The sequence below is a fragment of the Homo sapiens genome, chromosome 17, assembly GCF_000001405.40.
Source record: "Homo sapiens chromosome 17, GRCh38.p14 Primary Assembly".
Classification (NCBI taxonomy): domain Eukaryota; kingdom Metazoa; phylum Chordata; class Mammalia; order Primates; family Hominidae; genus Homo; species Homo sapiens.
The window spans coordinates 1,417,709-1,438,302 of record NC_000017.11 but is presented as its reverse complement, the minus strand read 5'-3'; the positions used below and the strand labels follow the sequence as shown (position 1 = coordinate 1,438,302).

General features: G+C 47.4%; 1 protein-coding gene and 1 long non-coding RNA gene across 3 annotated transcripts in view, besides 2 other annotated features; one reads left to right on the top strand and one right to left on the bottom strand.

Moving 5' to 3' along the window:
* Window positions 1-17,610, top strand: part of CRK (CRK proto-oncogene, adaptor protein) — a 35,540-nt gene extending 17,930 nt beyond the window's left edge. Inside the window, exons 2-3 of one of the 2 annotated variants that reach the window (NM_005206.5) lie at window positions 1,148-1,513; window positions 14,653-17,610. In NM_005206.5, coding sequence (NP_005197.3) covers window positions 1,148-1,513; window positions 14,653-14,660 — 374 coding nt within the window. In that variant the 3' untranslated portion in view covers window positions 14,661-17,610. Of the gene's footprint in view, window positions 1-1,147; window positions 1,684-14,652 lie in introns of both variants that reach the window. The other variant, NM_016823.4, reaches the window with a different exon arrangement.
* Window positions 5,252-5,752: an enhancer, noted in NCBI's record as "H3K4me1 hESC enhancer chr17:1335845-1336345 (GRCh37/hg19 assembly coordinates)". NCBI's record gives its function as "activates a minimal SCP1, AML or CMV promoter by ChIP-STARR-seq in primed H9 embryonic stem cells {active_cell/tissue: H9 hESC(primed)}" and the evidence as "EXISTENCE:reporter gene assay evidence [ECO:0000049][PMID:30033119]".
* Window positions 5,753-6,253: an enhancer, noted in NCBI's record as "H3K4me1 hESC enhancer chr17:1335344-1335844 (GRCh37/hg19 assembly coordinates)". NCBI's record gives its function as "activates a minimal SCP1, AML or CMV promoter by ChIP-STARR-seq in primed H9 embryonic stem cells {active_cell/tissue: H9 hESC(primed)}" and the evidence as "EXISTENCE:reporter gene assay evidence [ECO:0000049][PMID:30033119]".
* Window positions 13,638-13,717, bottom strand: CRK-AS1 (CRK antisense RNA 1). The gene has a single exon (NR_198965.1). It is a non-coding gene; the product is annotated as a CRK antisense RNA 1 (long non-coding RNA).

Sequence of the window (20,594 nt, the reverse complement as noted above, 5' to 3'; positions counted from 1 at the left end):
TAAAAATTACCCAGATATGGTTGAGCGTGCCTGTAGTCCCAGCTGCTCAGGAGGCTGAAGTGGGAGGATTACTTGAGCCTGGGAGGTCAAGGCTGCAGTAAGCTGTGATTGTGCCACTGCACTCCAGCTTGAGCGACACAGCGAGACTCTGTCCCAAAAACAACGAAAACCACAACAAGAGATAGTTTTTCTTCTTCGGAATTATACATTCTAGATGTGAAGAGAAAAAATGTGTGAGCTCAGTGCAGACACAAGCTCTCTCCACCTTCTGAACAGCAGCAGGGACCCATGAAAAACAAGAGCTTGCTACATTTCCTGAGGTTGAAAAGTAGATGCAGGCCAGGCGCAGTAGCTCACACCTGTAATCCCAGCACTTTGGGAGGCTGAGGTGGGTGGATCACCTGAGATCAGGAGTTTGAGACCAGCCTGGCCAACATGGTGAAACCCCGTCTCTACTAAAAATACAAAAAAAAAAAAAAAAATTAGCTTGTCATGGTGGTGGGAGCCTGTAATCCTAGCTACTCAGGAGGCTGAGACGGGAGAATCGCTTGAACCCGGGAGGCAGAGGTTGCAGTGAGCAGAGATCACGCCACTACACTCCAGCCTGGGCGACACAGTGAGATTTGGTCTCAAAAAAAAAAAAACATGCAACAGAACCTTGAGGCTTACACTGCTCTGTAAATGGGGTAGCGACAGAACATATTTGGAGAATGCAGTGAAAGCCCCCGTCGTTGATCAAGTATGAGAGCACGTCCTGATCAGCCTAGTCTCCTGGCCTCCTCATCCTTCCCTGGGGCTGTAGTGATGGGCATCTTTCTTCCCAGGGGATGTTTCAGCTTCCAAATGTGATGTTGGTGTGCTGTGAAGAGAAGGGGTTATTTTTTCTAGAGTTTTTTTTGCTGATTAAATCTTGACTAAATGTGTATGAGGCATGCATGAAAGCTCCATTTCGGCCAGGCACAGTGGTGGGCTCCTGTAGTCCCAGCTACTCAGGAGTTTGTGGTGAGAGGATCACTTGAGCCCCGGAGGTCAAGACCAGCCTGGGTAACATAGTGAGATCCCAACTCTAAAAAAAATAAAAATAAAATCTGCATTTCATTTCCAGTGTAGTACATCATTAAATAACAGCCTGCTCTGTTTTTTCCAGGGGTGAGCCCCTCCAGACTCCGAATAGGAGATCAAGAGTTTGATTCATTGCCTGCTTTACTGGAATTCTACAAAATACACTATTTGGACACTACAACGTTGATAGAACCAGTTTCCAGATCCAGGCAGGGTAGTGGAGTGATTCTCAGGCAGGAGGAGGCGGAGTATGTGCGAGCCCTCTTTGACTTTAATGGGAATGATGAGGAAGATCTTCCCTTTAAGAAAGGAGACATCTTGAGAATCCGGGACAAGCCTGAAGAGCAGTGGTGGAATGCGGAGGACAGCGAAGGCAAGAGAGGGATGATTCCAGTCCCTTACGTCGAGAAGTATAGACCTGCCTCCGCCTCAGTATCGGCTCTGATTGGAGGTAACCAGGAGGGTTCCCACCCACAGCCACTGGGTGGGCCGGAGCCTGGGCCCTATGCCCAACCCAGCGTCAACACTCCGCTCCCTAACCTCCAGAATGGGCCCATATATGCCAGGGTTATCCAGAAGCGAGTCCCCAATGCCTACGACAAGACAGCCTTGGCTTTGGAGGTACATAACGTGCACAATGTAGAAAGAAGAGATCTGCTGCAGGGTCTCCTCTCGGTCCTCTTAGAGCTTTGTAGCAATGCTGACTACAGCATTGGGATGTTGTAGATGGCAAGCCGCTAAGCACTGATGTTGGCATTGAATGTTGGGTTTTCTCTTCTTCATAGAAAACCTGTTTGGGAATGAGTAAGCTTAAAACTGTATAACTGAATGTTCTTAATTGATCTACTAAACACACTTGGACTACTTTAATAACACCACCTGAATTCACAGGAATTAACCTCAAATGTTTTTCCTCATCTACATCCTCATCTGTTTCTTGCTTTCTGTTTGTCGTTGTCTAAAAGAAGGTGGGTTCAGATGGATTTGAGTGTAATAAGTGGTCTCTATCAAAGCACTTAAATGGAATTTTCCCGCAAAAACTTGTTTTTGCTTCAGGGGACTTGAAGTTCCTTACCACTAATGTTCATTGAGTAGAATCCGGGAGGAAATAGGCCTAGTAGAGGTTTGAAGAGATGCACACCCAGAAGTCCTCATTCCGAGGAGTGGCAGGTGCACGGGTCTTTCTAAATCATTCAAAAAGCCAGTTCTTCCTCAGGAATTAATTTTTGCCTTTACTGATGAAATATCTTTGGCAGCCCACTTCCTTCTGGCCAGCCATTACATGGTGTTAATTCCTTTATTCCTCTCTTCCACGCTCACACCTTGCTCTCCTACCTCCTTCCTTTCTTCTTCCTTCCTCCCTCTCTCCCTTCCTTTCTTTTCAGAAGAATTGATGGTTCAGTGTAAAAGCTAGTACAGACTGGGCACAGTGGCTCACACTTGTAATCCTAGTGCTCTGGGAGGCTAAGGCAGGAAGACCACTTGAGACCAGGTGTTCAAGACCAGTCTGGGAAACATAGACCTCAGCTTTTTTTAACAAAAAGTGAAAAAAAAAAATCACCAGGCGTGGTGGCATGCACCTGCAGTCCTGGCTTGAATGAGAAATGGAATGTATGTTGTCAGAGTTATCACTGCCTCTTGTTCCCATTCCCTGTTTGGAGGAAAATAGATTTCTACCCTCAGGTCTTCCTGTGAGTTCAGATGACGGTAACATCTGGCATGGTGCTGTGTGTATGATGGATCTTACTCCTTTTTATTTTCTTTTTTTTTTTTCCTCTCTGCTTTTTTTTATTTTTATCTGGCCTTACTGAGTCACTAGATGTAACTCTTGACATTTATTACAGACTTTATTAGCACTGGGTTGAAGTAAGTATGAAAACATGGAACAAAGGCTGGGCGTGTGGCTCATACCTGTAATCCCAGCACCTTGGGAGGCCGAGGTGGGCAGATCACTTGAGCTCAGGAGTTGGAGACCGGCCTAGGCAACATGGCAAAACACCATCTCTACAAAAAATTAGCTGGGCATGGTGGCACGTGCCTGTGGTCCCAGCTACTTGGGAGGCTGAGGAGGGAGGATCACCTGAGCCTGAAAGGTCATGGCTGAAGTGAGCTGAGATCATGACACTGCACTCCAGCCTGGGCGACAGGGTGAGACTCTGTCTCAAAAAAAGAAAAAGAAAAAAAGCCATGGAACAAGCCAGCTGACCCAGGAGAAACCAGTTATCATGTGAATTTTGCTTCTATTTGCATTTCCTTTCTCAGAGATTTAATCATGCCTGCCTTAATTAGAGGCTTTACTGCTCAAAAAAATGGTTGAGCTTCTCTACCTGCTGTGAAACACAAATCTCATTAAATAAAGATTTGAGTAGAAAACTAGTTTTATGATTTTAGTAAGTTTTCCTTTTTGATTTGGGTATTGGGTTTTTTTGGATTTTTTTTTTTTTTTTTGGTTCTTTTTGAGACGAAATCTCACTCCATCGCCCAGGCTGGGGTGCAATGGCACGATCTCGGCTCACTGCAACCTCCGCCTCCCAGGTTCAAGTGATTCCCCTGCCTCAGTCTCCTGAGTAGTTGGGATTACAGGCATACCCCATTGTGCCTGGCTAATTTTTGTATTTTTAGTAGAGACAGGGTTTCACCTTGTTGGCCAGGCTGGTCTCAAACTCCTGACCTCAGGTGATCCACCCGCCTCAGCCTCCCAAAGTGCTGGGATTACAGGTGTGAGCTGTCGTGCCTGGCCAATTTCTAGAAATGTCTTTATGTTGAGCTAAAACATATGTACTATGTGTGGTCACCGCTCATCAAGGGTATGGGGAGCTTAGCTTCAGGCATTATCAGTTGAGCTAGAGATCTTTGTGACTCACACCAGAACCAGGGTAAGGCCTATCTCCCAGGATTCTGTGGGATGTTTTTTCTGTTCATGTGGACTGTTAAATCTCAAACACTGGCAGCTTTCCACCAATACTACCCATGCCAGTTTCAGTCCATCTCTGATGCAGGTGAATTGTTAAGGCTGAATTGTCCTCATTTGTTTCCATCAATTTGAAAGACTGTCGATGGGCCCTAGATACACTACCTGTTACTTAGATCAGGGGTCTGCAAACCTTTTCTGTAAAGGTTTTTGAGGGCCTTAAATTCTGTGTCCCAACTCTGCCATTGTAGCAAGAAGGAAATCATAGATAAAACAACAGATGAGCTTGCTGTGTTCCAATAAAGCTGCAAAAACAACAGGCTGATGTTTGGCCAGGTGCTGTGACTTACGCCTGTAATCCCAGCACTTTCGGAGGCTGAGGTGGGAGGATCGCTTGAGTCCAGGTGTTTGAAACCAGCCTGGGCAACATGGTGAGATCCGGTCTCTACAAAAAATGTTTTTAAAAATTAGCCAGGTGATCTAAAAAAAAAAAAAAAAAAAAAACCATACATGCTGGGTGCGGTGGCTCACGCCTGTAATCTCAGCACTTTGGAAGGCTGAGGCAGGCAGATCACCTGAGATCAGGAGTTTGAGACCAGCCTGACCGATATGATGAAACCCTGTCTGTACTAAAAATACAAAAATTAGCCAGGCGTGGTGGTGGGCGCCTGTAATTCCAGCTACTCGGGAGGCTAAGACAGGAGAATCACTTGAACCCGGGAGGCAGAGATTTCAGTGAGCTGAGATCGTGCCATAGCACTTCAGCCTGGGCAACAAGAGTGAAACTCCATCTCAAAAAAAAAAAAAAAAAAAAAAAAAAGCCAGGCGTGGTGGTGTGCACCTGTGGTCTCAGCTGCTTGGGAGGCTGAGGTAGGAAAACTGCTTGAGCCTAGGAGGTTGGAAGAGAAGGCTCCTGTGCTGCCTCTCTGTACTTGCTCTTCCCTGGTTTTGTGTGTATGAATTTGTGTGTGCTTCCTGCCCTGAGCTCACTGAAAGCAAGTCTGGATCAAGGCATGTTAGCAGTCAGTGATGTGCTGCTGGTTGGTAGTAGGGACCTAGAAAAGCAGTCACCTGGGTTTGCGCCAGCAAAGAAAACCAGTTCTGTGATGTCCCCTGTGTAGTGAATTCCAAACATTGATACCATTTGGGTTCTGATTTTGTTCTCATTATCTCTGGAACGCATTGATCAGCTGGGTAATCTTTTGTTCCTGTACCAATTCTAGATCTGATTGCACCAGGATCGATTAGCCTTGAAAACGACACAGAGCTAGGGAATAGCCAGTGTTTGTTACGTTCCTTGGGAGCAAAGAAACTGTAGTAACCACATTCAGTCTTCTTTATGAATGACTCCATGATACAGCCGGGACTTGCTTCCTAAAAAAGTGAAGATGAAAGGATGCTTGTTATATTTTAGTCAACTTTTCTAGGTGTTTTGTGGATTGTGGTTCTTTAGGATATAGTCTTAAGTCCACCATTCTACTTGATAGCAAACTCTGTTTAAATACCTCAATCTTATATTGTCTTTGTTCTTCTTTTCTTTTTTTTTTTTTTTTGAGACGGAGTCTCGCTTTGTTGCCCAGGCTGGAGTGCAGTGGCGTGATCTCGGCGCACTGCAAGCTCCGCCTCCTGGGCTCATGCCATTCTCCTGCCTCAGCCCCCCAAGTAGCTGGGACTACAGGCGCCCGCCACCACGCCTGGCTAATTTTTTATATTTTTAGTAGAGATGAGGTTTCACCGTGTTAGCCAGGATGGTCTCGACCTCCTGACCTCGTGATCCACCTGCCTTCGCCTCCCAAAGTGCTGGGATTACAGGCGTGAGCCACCGCGCCTGGCCTTTTTTTTTTTTTTTTTTTAAGACAAGGTCTCACTCTGTCACCCAGGCTGGAGTACAGTGGCGTGATCTCACTCTGCCTCCTGGGTTCAAGTGATTCTCGTGCCTCAACCTCCCGGGTAGCTGGGATTACAGGCATCCACCACCACGCCTGGCTAATTTTTTTATTTTTAGTAGAGATGGGATTTCGCCACATTGGCCAGGCTAGTCTCAAACTCCTGGCCTCAAGCGATCCGCCTGCCTCAGCCTCCCAAAGTGCTGGGATTATAGGCATGAGCCACCCCGCCTGGCCTATGTTGTCTTTATTCTTAAACATTCAGAGTGCAGTCTCAAATCCCATCCCACAGAGCTGTAAGAAGCTCCTAAGAATGTGTTACAGGATGAGGAGGCTGAGGACCAGCCTGGACAGTAAAACAGTTCCTCTGTGGTGAGACTCATCAGTCTCTTTGCTGTAGTGAGGTCTCCCTCTTGGAAAGAAAGGTTAACTACCTTGTAGTACTTCAAGTCCTGTATGAAGTCTTTGTTGTTCATTGGTAATTCATATTAGGATTTTTCTTTCCTATTTATAACTTGAATTTTGAAATCAGTAGTGTTAGAACTACTGTTATTACTACATTCACTGATTAGTACATTCCTTTGTATTGTCAGATTGTAACAGTTCTGGGGCAAGCACTCGGTTTCACCTTTGTATTTGAAGTAGTACACCCTAGTCTGGTCAACATGGTGAAACCCATCATTACAAGAATTAGCCAAGTGTGGTGCACATGCCTGTAGTCCCAGATACTCTAGTGACTGAGATGGGAGGATGGCTTCAGCCTGGGAGGTCAAGGCTGGAGTGAGCTATGATTGCGCTACTGCAGTCCAGGCTAGGCGACAGAGTGAGACTCTGCCTCAAAAAAAACTAGTACACCAAGTTTCTTTTTTTTTTCTTTTGTATTTTTAGTAGAGATGGGGTTTCACTGTGTTAGCCAGGATGGTCTCGATCTCCTGACCTCGTGACCCACTCCCCTCTGCCTCCCAAAGTGCTGAGATTACAGGCGTGAGCCACCGCCCCGGTATGATACCCCTCACCTTCCCTGATCTGATCTTTGGGAATTATGCTTTAGTGAATTAACAGGTGGAAGCACAGTTCTGACTTTGTTTCTGAATTGGAGGAAGAACTGCATTTACTGGAGCAAAATGTTCTTAGAATGCCCCACCCCCTCCGGCCTTCTTCCTCTGCCCTCCTCCAGCCAGAGTCAGCAGCCACTCCTTCCTCCAGACTGTTAAAGACCTAAGGCCACATGTGGCACCACAGGAAGACCTGGTCTCTAAATATCATCATAGTGCCTTTGGGACCTCAGGAGCATTTTCATGTGCTCTAAACGTTTCAGGAGAAAGGCCCCAAAAAGCACAAAGGGTTAATTTGTTTGTTTGTTTGTTTGTTTGTTTTGAGACGGAGTCTCACTCTGTCGCCCAGGCTGGAGTGCAGTGCGTGATCTCGGCTCACTGCGAGCTCCGCCTCCAGGGTTCACGCTATTCTCCTGCCTCAGCCTCCCTAGCAGCTGGGACTACAGGCGCCTGCTACCACGCCCGGTTAATTTTTTTGTATTTTTAGTAGAGACGGGGTTTCACCGTGTTAGCCAGGATGGTCTCGATCTGCTGACCTCGTGATCCACCCACCTCGGCCTCCCAAAGTGCTGGGATTACAGGCATGAGCCACAGCGCCCGGCCATAGGGTTAATTTTAACAAGGTCTTCCTTGAGGTATTTTTACTTCAAAGCCACGTTGGTCAGGTTAATTAGCCCAATTGATTGCTTACAAATTTTCTTTATCCGTTTAAAAATCAGAATCAGGCTGGGTGTGGTGGCTCACGCCTGTAATCCCAGCACTTTGGGAGGCCAAGGCGGGCGGATCACGAGGTCAGGAAATGGAGACCATCCTGGCTAATACTGTGAAATCCCATCTCTACTAAAAAAAAAAAAAATACAAAAAATTAGCCGGACGTGGTGGCGGGCATCTGTAGTCCCAGGTACTCGGGAGGCTGAGGCAGGAGAATGGCGTGAACCCGGGAGGCGGAGCTTGCAGTGAGCCAAGATCGCGCCACTGCACTCCAGCCTGGGCGACAGAGCGAGACTCTGTCTCAAAAAATAATACTAATAATCAGAATGAGCCCAGGTACAGTGGTTCACGCCTGTAATCCCAGCACTTTGGGAGGTCGAGGTGGGTGAACTCTTCACCTGAGGTCAGGAATTCGAGACCAGCCTGACTAACATTTTGAAACTCCATTTCTATGAAAAAGACAAAATTAGCCAGGCGTGGGGGCACACGCCTGTAATCCCAACTACGTGGGAGGCTGAGGCAGGAGAATCACTTGAACCCGGGAGGTGGAGGTTGCAGTGAGCTGAGATTGTGCCACTGCACTCCAGCCTGGGCAACAAAAGCGAAACTCTGTCTTTAAAAAAAAAAAAAAATCATTTGAGTTATGGCATAGCCATTATCTCATCTCCGTATATTTGAACCTGTCTGCCAAAAACCTAATCATCTGTAAAGAAAAGATTCGTGTTTTTGGTTGTTTTTCTCTTTTTTTTTTTTGAGATCAGGCTTTGCTCTGTTCCCCAAGCAAGGGTGCCCAGTTGTAGCTCACTGCAGCCCCAAACTCCTGGGCTTGTGATCCCCCTACCTCAGCCTCCCAAGTAGCTGGGACTACAGGCACATTCCACTGTACCTGGCTAATGTTGTACTTTTAATTTTGTAGAAATGGAGTCTTGCTTTGTAACCTAGACTGATCTTGAACTCCTGGCTTCAGGCAATCTTCCTCCTGCTCGGGCCTCACAAAGCACTGGGATTATAGGTGTGAGCCACTGCGTCTGGCCTCTTTTTTTTTTTTTTAAGAGAGACAGAGTTTCACTGTGCTGCTGAGGAAGGCCTCAAACTCCTGGGCTCAGCTGGGCAAGGTGGCCCATGCCTATAATCCCAGCACTTTGGGAGGCCGAGTTGGGCAAATCACTTGAAGTCAGGAGTTGCATACCAGACTGTCCAATGTGGTGAAACCTGGTCTCCACTAAAAATACAAAAATTAACTGAGCATGGTGGCGGGCGCCTATAATCCCAGGTCCTTGGGAGCCTAAGGCACAAGACTCCAGGAGGCGGAGTTTGCAATGAGACAAGATTGTGCCACTGCACTCCAGCCTGGGTGAGAGATCAATACAGTGTCTCAAAAAGAAAAAAAAACCCTGGACTCAAGGGTTCCTCTCCCCTCAGTCTCCCAAGTAGCTGGGACTACAGGTGCAGGCCAGCGTACCCGGTGTAAAAAAAAAAGTTTTAGATTTTGGCATGGTTTTCCTCTGCAGGGTAGATCCAAGAGAATCTGGCTGGGCACGGTGGCTCACACCTGTAATCCCAGCACTTTGGGAGGCCAAGGTGGGCGGATCACCTGAGGTCAGGAGTTGGAGACCAGCCTGGCCAACATGGTGAAACCCCATCTCTACTAAAAATGCGAAAAAATTAGCCGGACGTGGTGGCGTGCGCCAGTAATCCCAGCTACTCAGGAGGCTGAGGCAGGAGAATCGCTTGAACCCAGGAGGCGGAGGTTGCAGTGAGCTGAGATTGCGCCACTGGACTCCAGCCTGGGTGACAAGAGTGAGGCTCCATCTAAAAAAAAAAGAGAGAGAATCTGTACATTAAAGATAGTTCTGAGCCGGGCGTGGTGGCTCACGCCTGTAATCCCAGCACTTTGGGAGGCTGAGGTGAGCAGATCACGAGGTCAGGAGTTCAAGACCAGCCTGGCCAATATGGTGAAACCCCATCTCTACTATAAATACAAAAATTAGCAGGGCGTGGTGGCACATGCCTGTAGTCCCAGCTACTCAGGAGGCTGAGGCAGGAGAATCACTTGAACCTGGGAGGCAGAGGTTGCAGTGAGCTGAGATCATGCCACTGTACTCTAGCCAGGGCAACAGAGTGAGACGCTGTCTCAAAAAAAAAAAAAAAAAAAAGATCTGATATGGTCCAAAGGTCTAATTTACACATAGTTCCTTTCCCCAATAACATCTTGCCTCATAGAAATCCCTACTCATTTATCCCTTAGAAGTCTGAAAGAAGGGCTGGCACGGTGGCTCACACCTGTAATCCCAGCACATTGGGAGGCCGAGGTAGGCAGATCATGAAGTCAGGAGATCGAGACCATCCTGCCCACCATGGTGAAACCCCATCTCTACTAAAAATACAAAAATCAGCTGGGCGTGGTGGCGGGCGCCTGTAGTCCCAGCTACTCTGGAGGCTGAGGCAGGAGAATCATTTGAATCCTGGAGGCGGAGGTTGCAGTGAGCCAGCATCGTACCACTGCACTCCAGCCTGGGTGACAAGAGCAAAAACTCCATTAAAAAAAAAAAAAAAAAAGTCTGAAAGAAAAGATCTGGAGGCACATTAGCAGGTTTTGCCCCACATTTTGAGAAATTGGTATGGTTCTGTGTTAACAGCAAGGGGTGGGGCTGGTCCACTTTTCAACCTACCCTTCACCTCTTAGAGCTTTGTGGGATGTGATTTGAGACTGCAGTATGAATGCTTAAGAATAAAGACAATATAGGCTGGGCGCGGTGGCTGATGCCTGTAATTCCAGCACTTTGGGAAGCCGAGGTGGGCGGGTCATGAGGTCAGGAGTTCGAGACAAGCCTGCCCAGCATGGTGAGACCCCGTCTCTACTAAAAATACGAAAAAAGTACTGGCTGGGCATGGTGGCTTGTGCTTGTCGTCCCAGCTACTTGAGAGCCTGAGGCAGGAGAATTGTTTGAACCTGGCAGGTGGAGGTTGCAGTGAGCCAAGATAGCGTCACTGCACTCCAGCCTGGGTGACAGAGTGAGACTCTCTCTCAAACAAACAAAAAGAATAAAGACAATATAACATTGAGGTATTTATTTATTTATTTGAGACTGAGTCTCGCTCTGTTACCCAGGCTGGAGTGCAGTGGCGTGATCTCGGCTCACTGCAAGCTCCGCCTCCTGGGTTCACACCATTCTCCTGCCTCAGCCTCCCGAGTAGGTGGGACTACAGGCGCCCGCCAGCACGCCTGGCTAATTTTTTGTATTTTTAGTAGAGACGGGGTTTCACCGTGTTAGCCAGGATGGTCTGGATCTCCTGACCTCATGATCTGCCGCCCTCAGCCTCCCAAAGTGCTGGGATTACAGGCGTGAGCCACCGCGCCCGGCCAAGATTCTTTTTTTTTTTTTTTTGGAGACAGAATCTTGGTCTCTCCACCAGGGTGGGGTGCAGTGGTGCACTTGGCTTGCTACAGCTCAAACTCCCAGGCTCAAGTGATCCTCCTGCCTCAGCCTCCTGAGTAACTGGAACTACAGGTGCATACGATGATACCTTACTAATTTTTTTTTTTTTTTCAAGAGACACAGTCTTGCTATTGTTGCCTAGCCTGGCTGGGGCATGTCAGAATCTTTTTTTTTTTTTTTTTTTTTTTTTTTTTTTTTTTTTTTTTTGGAGACAGTTTTGCTCTGTCGCCCAGGCTGGAGTGCACTGGTACTATCTTGGCTCACTGCAATCTCTGCCTCCCGGGCTCAAGTGATCCTCCCATGTCAGCCTCTTGAGTAGCTGGGACCACAGGCGCACACTACTATGCCTGGCTAATTTATTTATTTATTTTATTTTTTGAGACAGTGTAACTCTGTTGGCCAGGCTGGAGTGCAGTGGCACAGTCTCGGCTCACTGCAACCTCCTCTTCCCAGGTTCAAGCAGTTCACTGCCTCAGCCTCGCAAGTAGCTGGGATTACAGGCGCCTGCCACCACACCTGGCTAATTTTTGTATTTTAGTAGAGACGGGGTTTCACCAATTTGGCCAGGCTGGTCTTGAACTCCTGACGTCGTGATTCACTCACCTCGACCTCCCAAAGTGCTGAGATTATAGGCGTGCGCCACCACGCCCAGCCAATTTTTTTATTTTTTGTAGAAATGAGGTTTCACTATGGTGCCCAGGCTGGTCTTGAACTCCTGAGCTCAAGTGATCCTCCTACCTCGCCTCCCAAAGTGCTGGGATTAAAGACGTGAGCCCCACAGCACCCTGCCCAGATGTGAGAAACGTTGAATTCTAAAATTGCTGGCAGGCCAGGTGTGGTGAGAGTCCTGGTGACAGCAACCTGTGAGGATTGTTACCTGTGTGTAAGGATAGGCATGCCATCATCCCTTCCTCCCCTTCCTCCACACTTGTGCTCAGCTGGCATCGTCACGACACAGGCTGGGCCATCATCCCTTCCTCTCCTTCCTCCACACGTGTGCTCAGCCGGCATTGTCACGACACAGGCTGGGTTAGCTGCTTGGTTTTCTCTTTTTTTGCAGACAGGGTCTTGTTGCCCAGGCTAGGGGGCAGCCTTGACCTCCCAGGAGGCTCAGGTGACCTCCTACCTCAGCCTCCCAAGTAACTGGGACCACAGGCGCACACCAGCACGCTTGGCCACGCTTGGCCACACTTGGCTTTTTAAATTTTTTTGTAGAGACAAGATCTCACTCTTTTGCCAGGGCTGCTCTCAAAATCATGGGCTCAAGCCATCCCCCCACCTCAGTTTCCCAAAGTGCTGGGATTACAGGCATGAGCCACTGCACCAAGCCTGCTGCTATTTTTTTCTCAACCTCTGTGTCTTATGTGTCTCTCTATCCCCTTCTTTCTGTCCCTCCTTTTCTCAGCATCCTATGACCCATACAGTGACTTCAGGCCTCTGTAATTTTTAGAGAGTTCTTCAGGAAACAACAGAGGGGCCAATAGGCAAGCTGTTCCATCTGTAAGTGAGGTCAGGCTGGGCCTGGAAGAGGCCCTGCGGCTGGACTTACGTTGGCTTTGGCCAGTAGATGTGCCTGCGTACATTTTTAGGGAACCCAGTACAAGCCCAGATGCATAATTTGAAAGTTCCTGATACTGTATGAAATGCATAAATGGTGTGGAGGCTCATGCCTGTAATTAGCTGGGCATGGTGGCGTGCACCTGTAGTCTCAGCTACTCGGGAGGCTAAGGTTGGAGGATCCCATGAGCCCAAGAGTTACAGGCTGCAGTGAGCCATGATGGTGTCAGTGCTCTCCAGCCTGAGTGACAGAGTGAGACCCTGTCTCAAAAACAAAAGATAAAAAGATGGCCAGGCGTGGTGGCTCACACCTGTAATCATAGCACTTTGGGAGGCCGAGGCGGGCGGATCACGAGGTCAGGAGATCGAGACCATCTTGGCTAACATGGTGAAACCCCATCTCTACTAAACAAAATACAAAAAATTAGCTGGGCGTGGTGGCGGGCGGCTGTAGTCCCAGCTACTAGGGAGGCTGAGGCAGGAGAATGGCGTGAACCCGGGAGGCAGAGCTTGCAGTGAGCTGAGATAGCGCCACTGCACTCCAGCCTGGGCAACAGATCGAGACTCTGTCTTAAAAAAACAAACAAAAAAAACCTTTATATTTCATTTTGCAACAAGAGACATTTTATAAATAAATGCCAAAACATAAGGTTTTTTTTTGTTTTTAGAGGCAGGATCTGGCTCTGTTGCCCAGGCTGGAGTGCAGTGATGTGATCTCGGCTCACTGCAACCTCTGCCTCCTGGGCTCAAGCAGTCCACCCACCTCAGCCTCCCGAGTAGCTGGTTCTATGAGCAGCCACCACCACACCCAGCTAATTTTTGTATTTTTTGTAGAGACGGTTTCACCATGTTGCTCAGGCTGGTCTCAAAAACTCCTGAGCTGAAGCAATCCATCCACCTGTGTCAGGCTCACCAAGTGCTGGGATTGCAGGCGTCAGCCACTGCGCCCGGCCATGGTTGGTTTTTTTGACCCCTCATTGGGTAATGATCAGGTAACAAGCGGCTTTGAGGGAGCAGCAAGGTCTGTCCGATGGTGGGATTTGGGGGCTGGGCAGGCAGTGGCTTGTGAAGTAGAGCTTACTGAATGAGGTGGGGGTTTTCTGGGAGCTAATTGGACCTGGAGTTTTGGCCTCTACCTGCCCATATGGGAAAAGGCTTGCCTGGGTCAGGAGGTGATAGGAACACTTGATTCTCTAGGACCAAGTGACCTATGCTTGCCATGATCGCTTTCTGCTGTGCAAGCAGTAACAGGCCAGGTCTTGTGCGAGTGGGCTGGGGGATTGTGCTGCTGCCATATGCTAAAGCGGGGAGAAGGCGGCCAGGCACAGTGGCTCACGCCTGTAATCCAAGCACTTTGGGAGGCCAAGGCAGGTGGATCACAAGGTCAGGAGTTCGAGACCAGCCTGGCCAAGATGGTGAAACTCCATCTCTACTAAAAATACAAAAATTAGCTGGGCACGGTGGCAGGCGCCTGTAGTCCCAGCTACTCGGGAGGCTGTGGCAGGAAAATTGCTCGAACCTGGGAGGCAGAGCTTGCAGTGAGCTGAGATCACGCCACTGTCATCCAGCCTGGGTGACAGAGACTCCGTCTCAAAAAAAAAAAAAAAAAAAAACGGAGAAAGCTGCTTCTCCTCGGACAGGGCCTGCGGAGCAGGCAGAAAGCTGAGGGTAGTGAGTACAAAGAAAGGGAATAGTAGCTAACTCACTGAAGTTGGGATTGCTCATGCAGAGACAGCTGAGATTTCCAATAATTATCACTTTCCTTTTTTAATCAAAAAGTATCATTATCTGGAATCCCTTTTACTTTCTGTATTCTCTGTTTTTCCACACTGCTAAAAACACTTTTCCTTCTGCCTGCATTAACCACAAGTAATCAGTCTGGTGGCTGGGGCTGGGGAGGCAGCAAATGGCCATTTCTGTAATATCCCTAGAGCAGTCACATGGGCAGGGTGTGCCTAACCAGAGAATGGAGTTGTTCAGCTTGCATTCCTACCTGGAAATAAAGTGCTCTCCTTATTCTCCTCCTGCAGGTCGGTGAGCTGGTAAAGGTTACGAAGATTAATGTGAGTGGTCAGTGGGAAGGGGAGTGTAATGGCAAACGAGGTCACTTCCCATTCACACATGTCCGTCTGCTGGATCAACAGAATCCCGATGAGGACTTCAGCTGAGTATAGTTCAACAGTTTTGCTGACAGATGGGAACAATCTTTTTTTTTTTTTTCCAACTGCCATCTATACAATTTTCTTACAGATGTCAAAAGCAGTCTAGTTTATATAAGCATTCTGTTACCTGTGATATTTTTTAGACTGAACTGCTCCATTCCTAGTCTTAATTACCATATTCAGGGTACGAACTGGAGGGCTTGTGTGTTAGCTTCTGAATTGGCAATTGGAGGCGGTAGTGGTCGTGCCTGTGTGTATCAGAAGGGATAGGTATCTTGCCTCCTTTCTCTCAGGCAGTGCAAATCACCCTGTGGAAAACCGATGGACAGGAAGGAGTGTTACACACTGCTTACCCTGATTTATTCAGTGGTTTTGTTTTCATTCTGGAACCATACTATCAAATGGCGACAGACTGTTCCGTTCCACCCCCGTGAAGTAATCATGCACCGTGTGAATAGTATCAAGCAGGATTGCTTTCATTGTATGGAGCATGACCAGCGTGTGACTCATTCTGACATTTCAGATCCTAAGAATTCTAAGAACACTACTAGAAGCATTTGTTCCCTCCTAGTCAATGCTTCATACTTTTTCTTGGGATTCTTTTAGCCCTTGACATTCTTGTCCCCCAAACCTGTAAGTAGGTGAATTCCTAAGATAAGTGTGTATTTTCATTCCAGGTGAAAAGCAGGATGTACCGAGCACTTTATTCAGTGCATAGCTTTAAGCCAGTGTTGGATTCACTAAGTGGACAGCCAGTCTCCCAGCTCTCTGCCTTCCCCAAAAGGGTCGTAGTAGGTCACCCTTCTACAGCAGCTAACTAGAGTCCTAACTAATGGGATCCAGCAGGGCCATTTCTCCAGAGGGCCAGTATCCTATTAGGAGACTCTTGGAATTCTTAGGTTCTACTCAAGAGTGGAAGGACCAATCACCTCTGATATTCTGTGGAAGGTTTTGGGGTCAAATTCTGCCCTCTGCATTCTGTGCAACTTGTATAAAAGTCAAGTTAGTATTACATGAATTTGGGGTAGGGTTAGTGCTTTGAAAAAATGTTGAACCGGCTGGGCGCGGTGGCTCACGTCTGTAATCCCAGCACTTTGGGAGGCCGAGGCGGGTGGATCATGAGGTCAGGAGTTCGAGACCAGCCTGGCCAACATAGTGAAACCCCATCTCTGCTAAAGATATAAAAAATTAGCCCGGCGTGGTGGTGCACGCCTGTAATCCCAGCTACTCGGGAGGCTGAGGCAGGAGAATTGCTTCAACCTGGGAGGTGGAGGCTGCAGTGAGCCGAGATCGCACCACTGCGTTCCAGCCTGAGCGACAGGGCAAGACTCAGTCTCAAAAAAAAAAAAAAGGAAAAAAAAAAGAAAAAAAAATGTTGAACCAATTGTGAATTACTTATGTATTATTCATTTCTCATGGGGAGAGTAATGCTGTTGAAGAACATTACATTGTAAACTGCCTTCATTTTTGGCTCTTTGTTTATGTTCAGGTTTAGTTTACAAACCCATTTAAGTATGGAATGATTTATATGGGGTCAGGTGCTCCACAAAATAGACCTATGAGACCAAAAATGACCTAGGCTATTTAGACGACAGCATGAAACTTCCACGTTAGTTCTCAGTCTATAAAGGCACTTACCGGTCTCTGGTGTGGTATGACCAATAGAAACACCTTATAGTTTGCTTTGGACCTCATTTTGGAAAAATAATCTGCCTTTCTAATTGTTCTGCATAGGTTAAAATGATAAATTTACATTCTTTGAACCTATACCAGATTGTGGTGTCCGAGTGACCGGCACACTGTCTGACACACAGTCAGTGTGCACGTATTTGTCTGAGTGAATGAGGAGACCTGAGAAACCGGTGACGTGGCACAGGGAAGCCAGCTGGCCCAGGATTCCGTACATGGCCGCAAGCAGACTAACGCGTTGACGCTAATTTAATGTATTTTACCTCACACTAAGGTCATGCTTGATAAAGACGTTAAACTCAACTTGTAAAATGGTAGCCCAGTGCTATGCACAGAGTGGGTGCTCATTAGTGTTGAATGAACACATTTGTAATACTACATGTAATTCCATCTGACTGCTTTGTTAAATTTTCAGTTAGAACGTAGATACTGTAAAGTCCACACACACATTAAATCTTGTTTTCCTGAAAGTATGGCATCAAAAATACTTGTAGAAAAACCTTGTCACAACTGATTTGAATGTTCCTATTTTCTTTTCCTTTGACTTTGATATTGGCTTGTAATGTCTCTTTTCATCATATGTAATATCAGTGGAACAGGCAGCGCTACTCAAGTCCTAAGGATTCCTCAGTGATCAGTGATCCAGGGCCGTTCATGAACCACTGGGCTGGATTTGACTGTTGAGTGTGGCAGTTAATGCCCCTCAAGAAATCAAAGGATGTCTTATAAGTGTCTTCCAAAAAAAAGCAAATGCTGAAATCCTATTGGCAAAGTAAACTGAAATTGGCTGCTATATTTTATATAATCATTTCTGCAAATCCCATTTTTTGAATACTAATATTTGACATGGTTAATTCTTATTAATTTGTTGGAATTGTTTATTGTTAATAATGCAAATAGATAATTTTTAATTATCCACAAGTAACATTTCACTGTTAATGGTTTGAAATAGGTGATAAGCAAACCAATTTGAAATAAAATATAAACATGTGCCATTGTATTATAACACTATACACTTTCTTGACAGTTAAATTTAAAAAAAAATTTTTTTTGGTAGCATGTATTGTATATGTTTATAGTATATGTAGTAAATAAAAATATGGCCAAATGTTTGGCTTGGTGATCTTTTGCAAAAAAGTAATCTTTGAATATTTTTCACAAAAGAACTAAATCTTTTTTTTTTTTTGAGACAGAGTTTCGCTCTTGTGACCTAAGCTGGGGTGCAGTGATGCGATCTCGGCTCACTGCAACTTCCGCCTCCCACGTTCAAGCAATTCTCCTACCTCTGCCTCCCGAGTAGCTGGGGTTACAGGCATGCACCACCACGCCCAGCTAATTTACTGTATTTTTAGTAGAAATGGGGTTTCACCATGTTAGCCAGGCTGGTCTCAAATTCCTGACCTCGGGTGATCCGCCTGCCTCCGCCTCCTAAAGTGCTGGGATTACAGGCTTCAGCCACCACCGCACCCAGCGAGAGGTAAATCTTTATGCTTAGGGGATAGGAGGTATGTGCCTTCAGCAGCCTGCAGTCATATAATTAGATAAACAATTATACAAGCTCAGTGGGTGCTTATTAAAGATGGGATTAGGCCGGGTGTGGTGGCTCATGCCTGTAATCCCAGCACCTTGGGAGGCAGAGGCGAGCGGATCAGAAGGTCAGGAGTTCGAGACCAGCCTGGCCAACATAGTGAAACTCCGTCTCTACTAAAAATACTAAAATCTGGCTGGGCATGATGGCTCACGCCTGTAATCCCAGCACTTTAGGAGGCTGAGGTGGGTGGATCACAAAGTCAGGAGATCGAGACCATCCTGGCTAACATGGTGAAACCCGGTCTCCACTAAAAATACGAAAAATTAGCCGGGCGTGGTGGCACGCGCCTGTAGTCCCAGCTGCACGGGAGGCTGAGGCAGGAGAATCGCTTGAACCCGGGAGGCAGAGCTTGCAGTGATCCAAGATGGCACCACCGTACTCCAGCCTGGGCAACAGAGCGAGACTCTGTCTCAATTAATCAATCAATAAAATACAAAAATTAGCCAGGCGTTGTGGCGTGCACCTATAGTCCCAGCTACTCGGGAGGCTGAGGCAGATGAATTACTTGAACCTGTGAAGTGGAGATTGTAGTTAGCCGAGATCACGCCACTGCACTCCAGCCTGGGTGACAGAGCAAGACTCCATCTCAGGGAAAAAAAAAAAAAAGATGGGATTAATCAATGGTGATATATATAGACACAGATTTTTTTTTAATTATTTATTTATTTATTTTTGTTGAGATGGAGTTTCGCTCTTGTTGCCCAGGCTGGAGTGTAGTGCTGCGTTCTTGGCTCACTGCAACCTCCACCTCCTGGGTTCAAGCAATTCTCCTGCCTCAGCCTCCCGAGTAGCTGGGATTACAGGCATGCGCCACCATGCCCGGCTAATTTTGAATTTTTAGTAGAAACGGGATTTCTCCATGTTGGTCAGGCTGGTCTGGAACTCCCAACCTCAGGTGATCCGCCTGCCTCAGCCTCCCAAAGTGCTAGGATTACAGGGATGAGCCACCGTATCCGGCCTTTTTTTTTTTTTTTTTTTTTGGCGGGGCGCAGGGTGGGGGGCGGGGACGGAGTTTCACTCTTGTTGTGCAGGCTGGAGTATAGTGGCGCTATCTCAGCTCGTTGTAACCTCTGTCTCCTGTGTTCAAGCGATTCTCCTGCCTCAGCCTCCCGAGTAGCTGGGATTACAGGCACGTGCCACCATACCTGGCTAATTTTTGTATTTTTAGTAGAGATGGGGTTTCACCATTTTGGCCAGGCTGGTCTCAAACCTCCTGACCGCAGGTGATCCACTTTGGCCCCCCAAAGTACTGGGATTACAGGCGTGAGCCACCGCGCCTGGCCTCGTGATTTTTTTTTTTTTCAAGACAAAATTTTCCTCTTGTGCCCCAGGCTGGAGGGCAGTGGCGTGATCTCAGCTTACTCCAACCTTGCCTCCCGGGTATAAGCGATTCTCCTGCCTCAGCCTCCCGAATAGCTGGGATTACAGGTGCACGCCACCAGGCCCTGCTAATTTTTGTATTTTTAGTAGAGATGGTGTTTCACCATGTTGGCTAGGCTGGTCTTGAACTCTTGACCTCAGGTGATCCACCCGCCTCGGCCTCCCAGTGTGCTGGAATTACAGGCGTGAGCCACTGCGCCCGGCCTCTGGCCTGGTGATATTTTTAAAGGTCTCCATGAGTATGAGTCATAAAATACTGATTTGAGGGGACCATAAGAATCATATAAAGGCCTGAAAGCAGGCCAGGTACAGTGGCTTATGCCTGTAATCCTCGCACTTGGGAGGCCTAGGTGGTGGAATCATTTGAGATCAGGAGTTTGAAACCAGCCTGGCCCACGTGGTGAAACACTGTCTCTACTAAAAATACAAAAAAAAATTAGCTGGGTGTGGTGGTGTGCGCCTGTAATCCCAGCCACTTAGGCCGCTGAGGCAGAAGAGTTGCTTGAACCCAAGAGGCTGACGGTGCAGTGAGATTGTGCCACTTCACTCCAGCCTGAGCGACAGGGTAAGACCCTGTCTGAAACAAAACCCAAAACCAAAAAAAACCCTGTTGAATGGCGTGTTCTTTTATATAGTCTACAGTATTCATACCAGCTGTCGTATTTTATGACCTGGACTTCCAGGTTAAATTCTGTTCCTCTTACAGGTATGAAAAGATGAGAGGGGGCCGGTATAGAAGAAAATGTGAAAATAACCATTAACCCTGCTAAGTTTGACAGGGAGAGGCGGAGAAAGTGGCGTGCTGTTGCCACCCATGTTCTGAAGACTGTGAAATGGGAGATAAGGTAGAGGCAAAAAAGAACCTTTAGCCATCTAGAAGTGAAGCTCAAAAACAGAGCAGGCCGGGCGCGGTGGCTCACGCCTCATCCCAGAACTGTGGGAGCCCGAGGCGGGTGGATTATGAGGTCAGGAGATCGAGACCATCCTGGCTAACACGGTGAAACCCCATCTCTACTAAAAATACAAAAAACTAGCCAGGTGTAGTGGCGGACGCCTGAGTCCCAGCTACTCCGGAGGCCGAGGCAGAGTGGCTTGAACCTGGGAGACGGAGTTTGCAGTGAGCCGAGACCACGCCACTGCACTCCAGCCT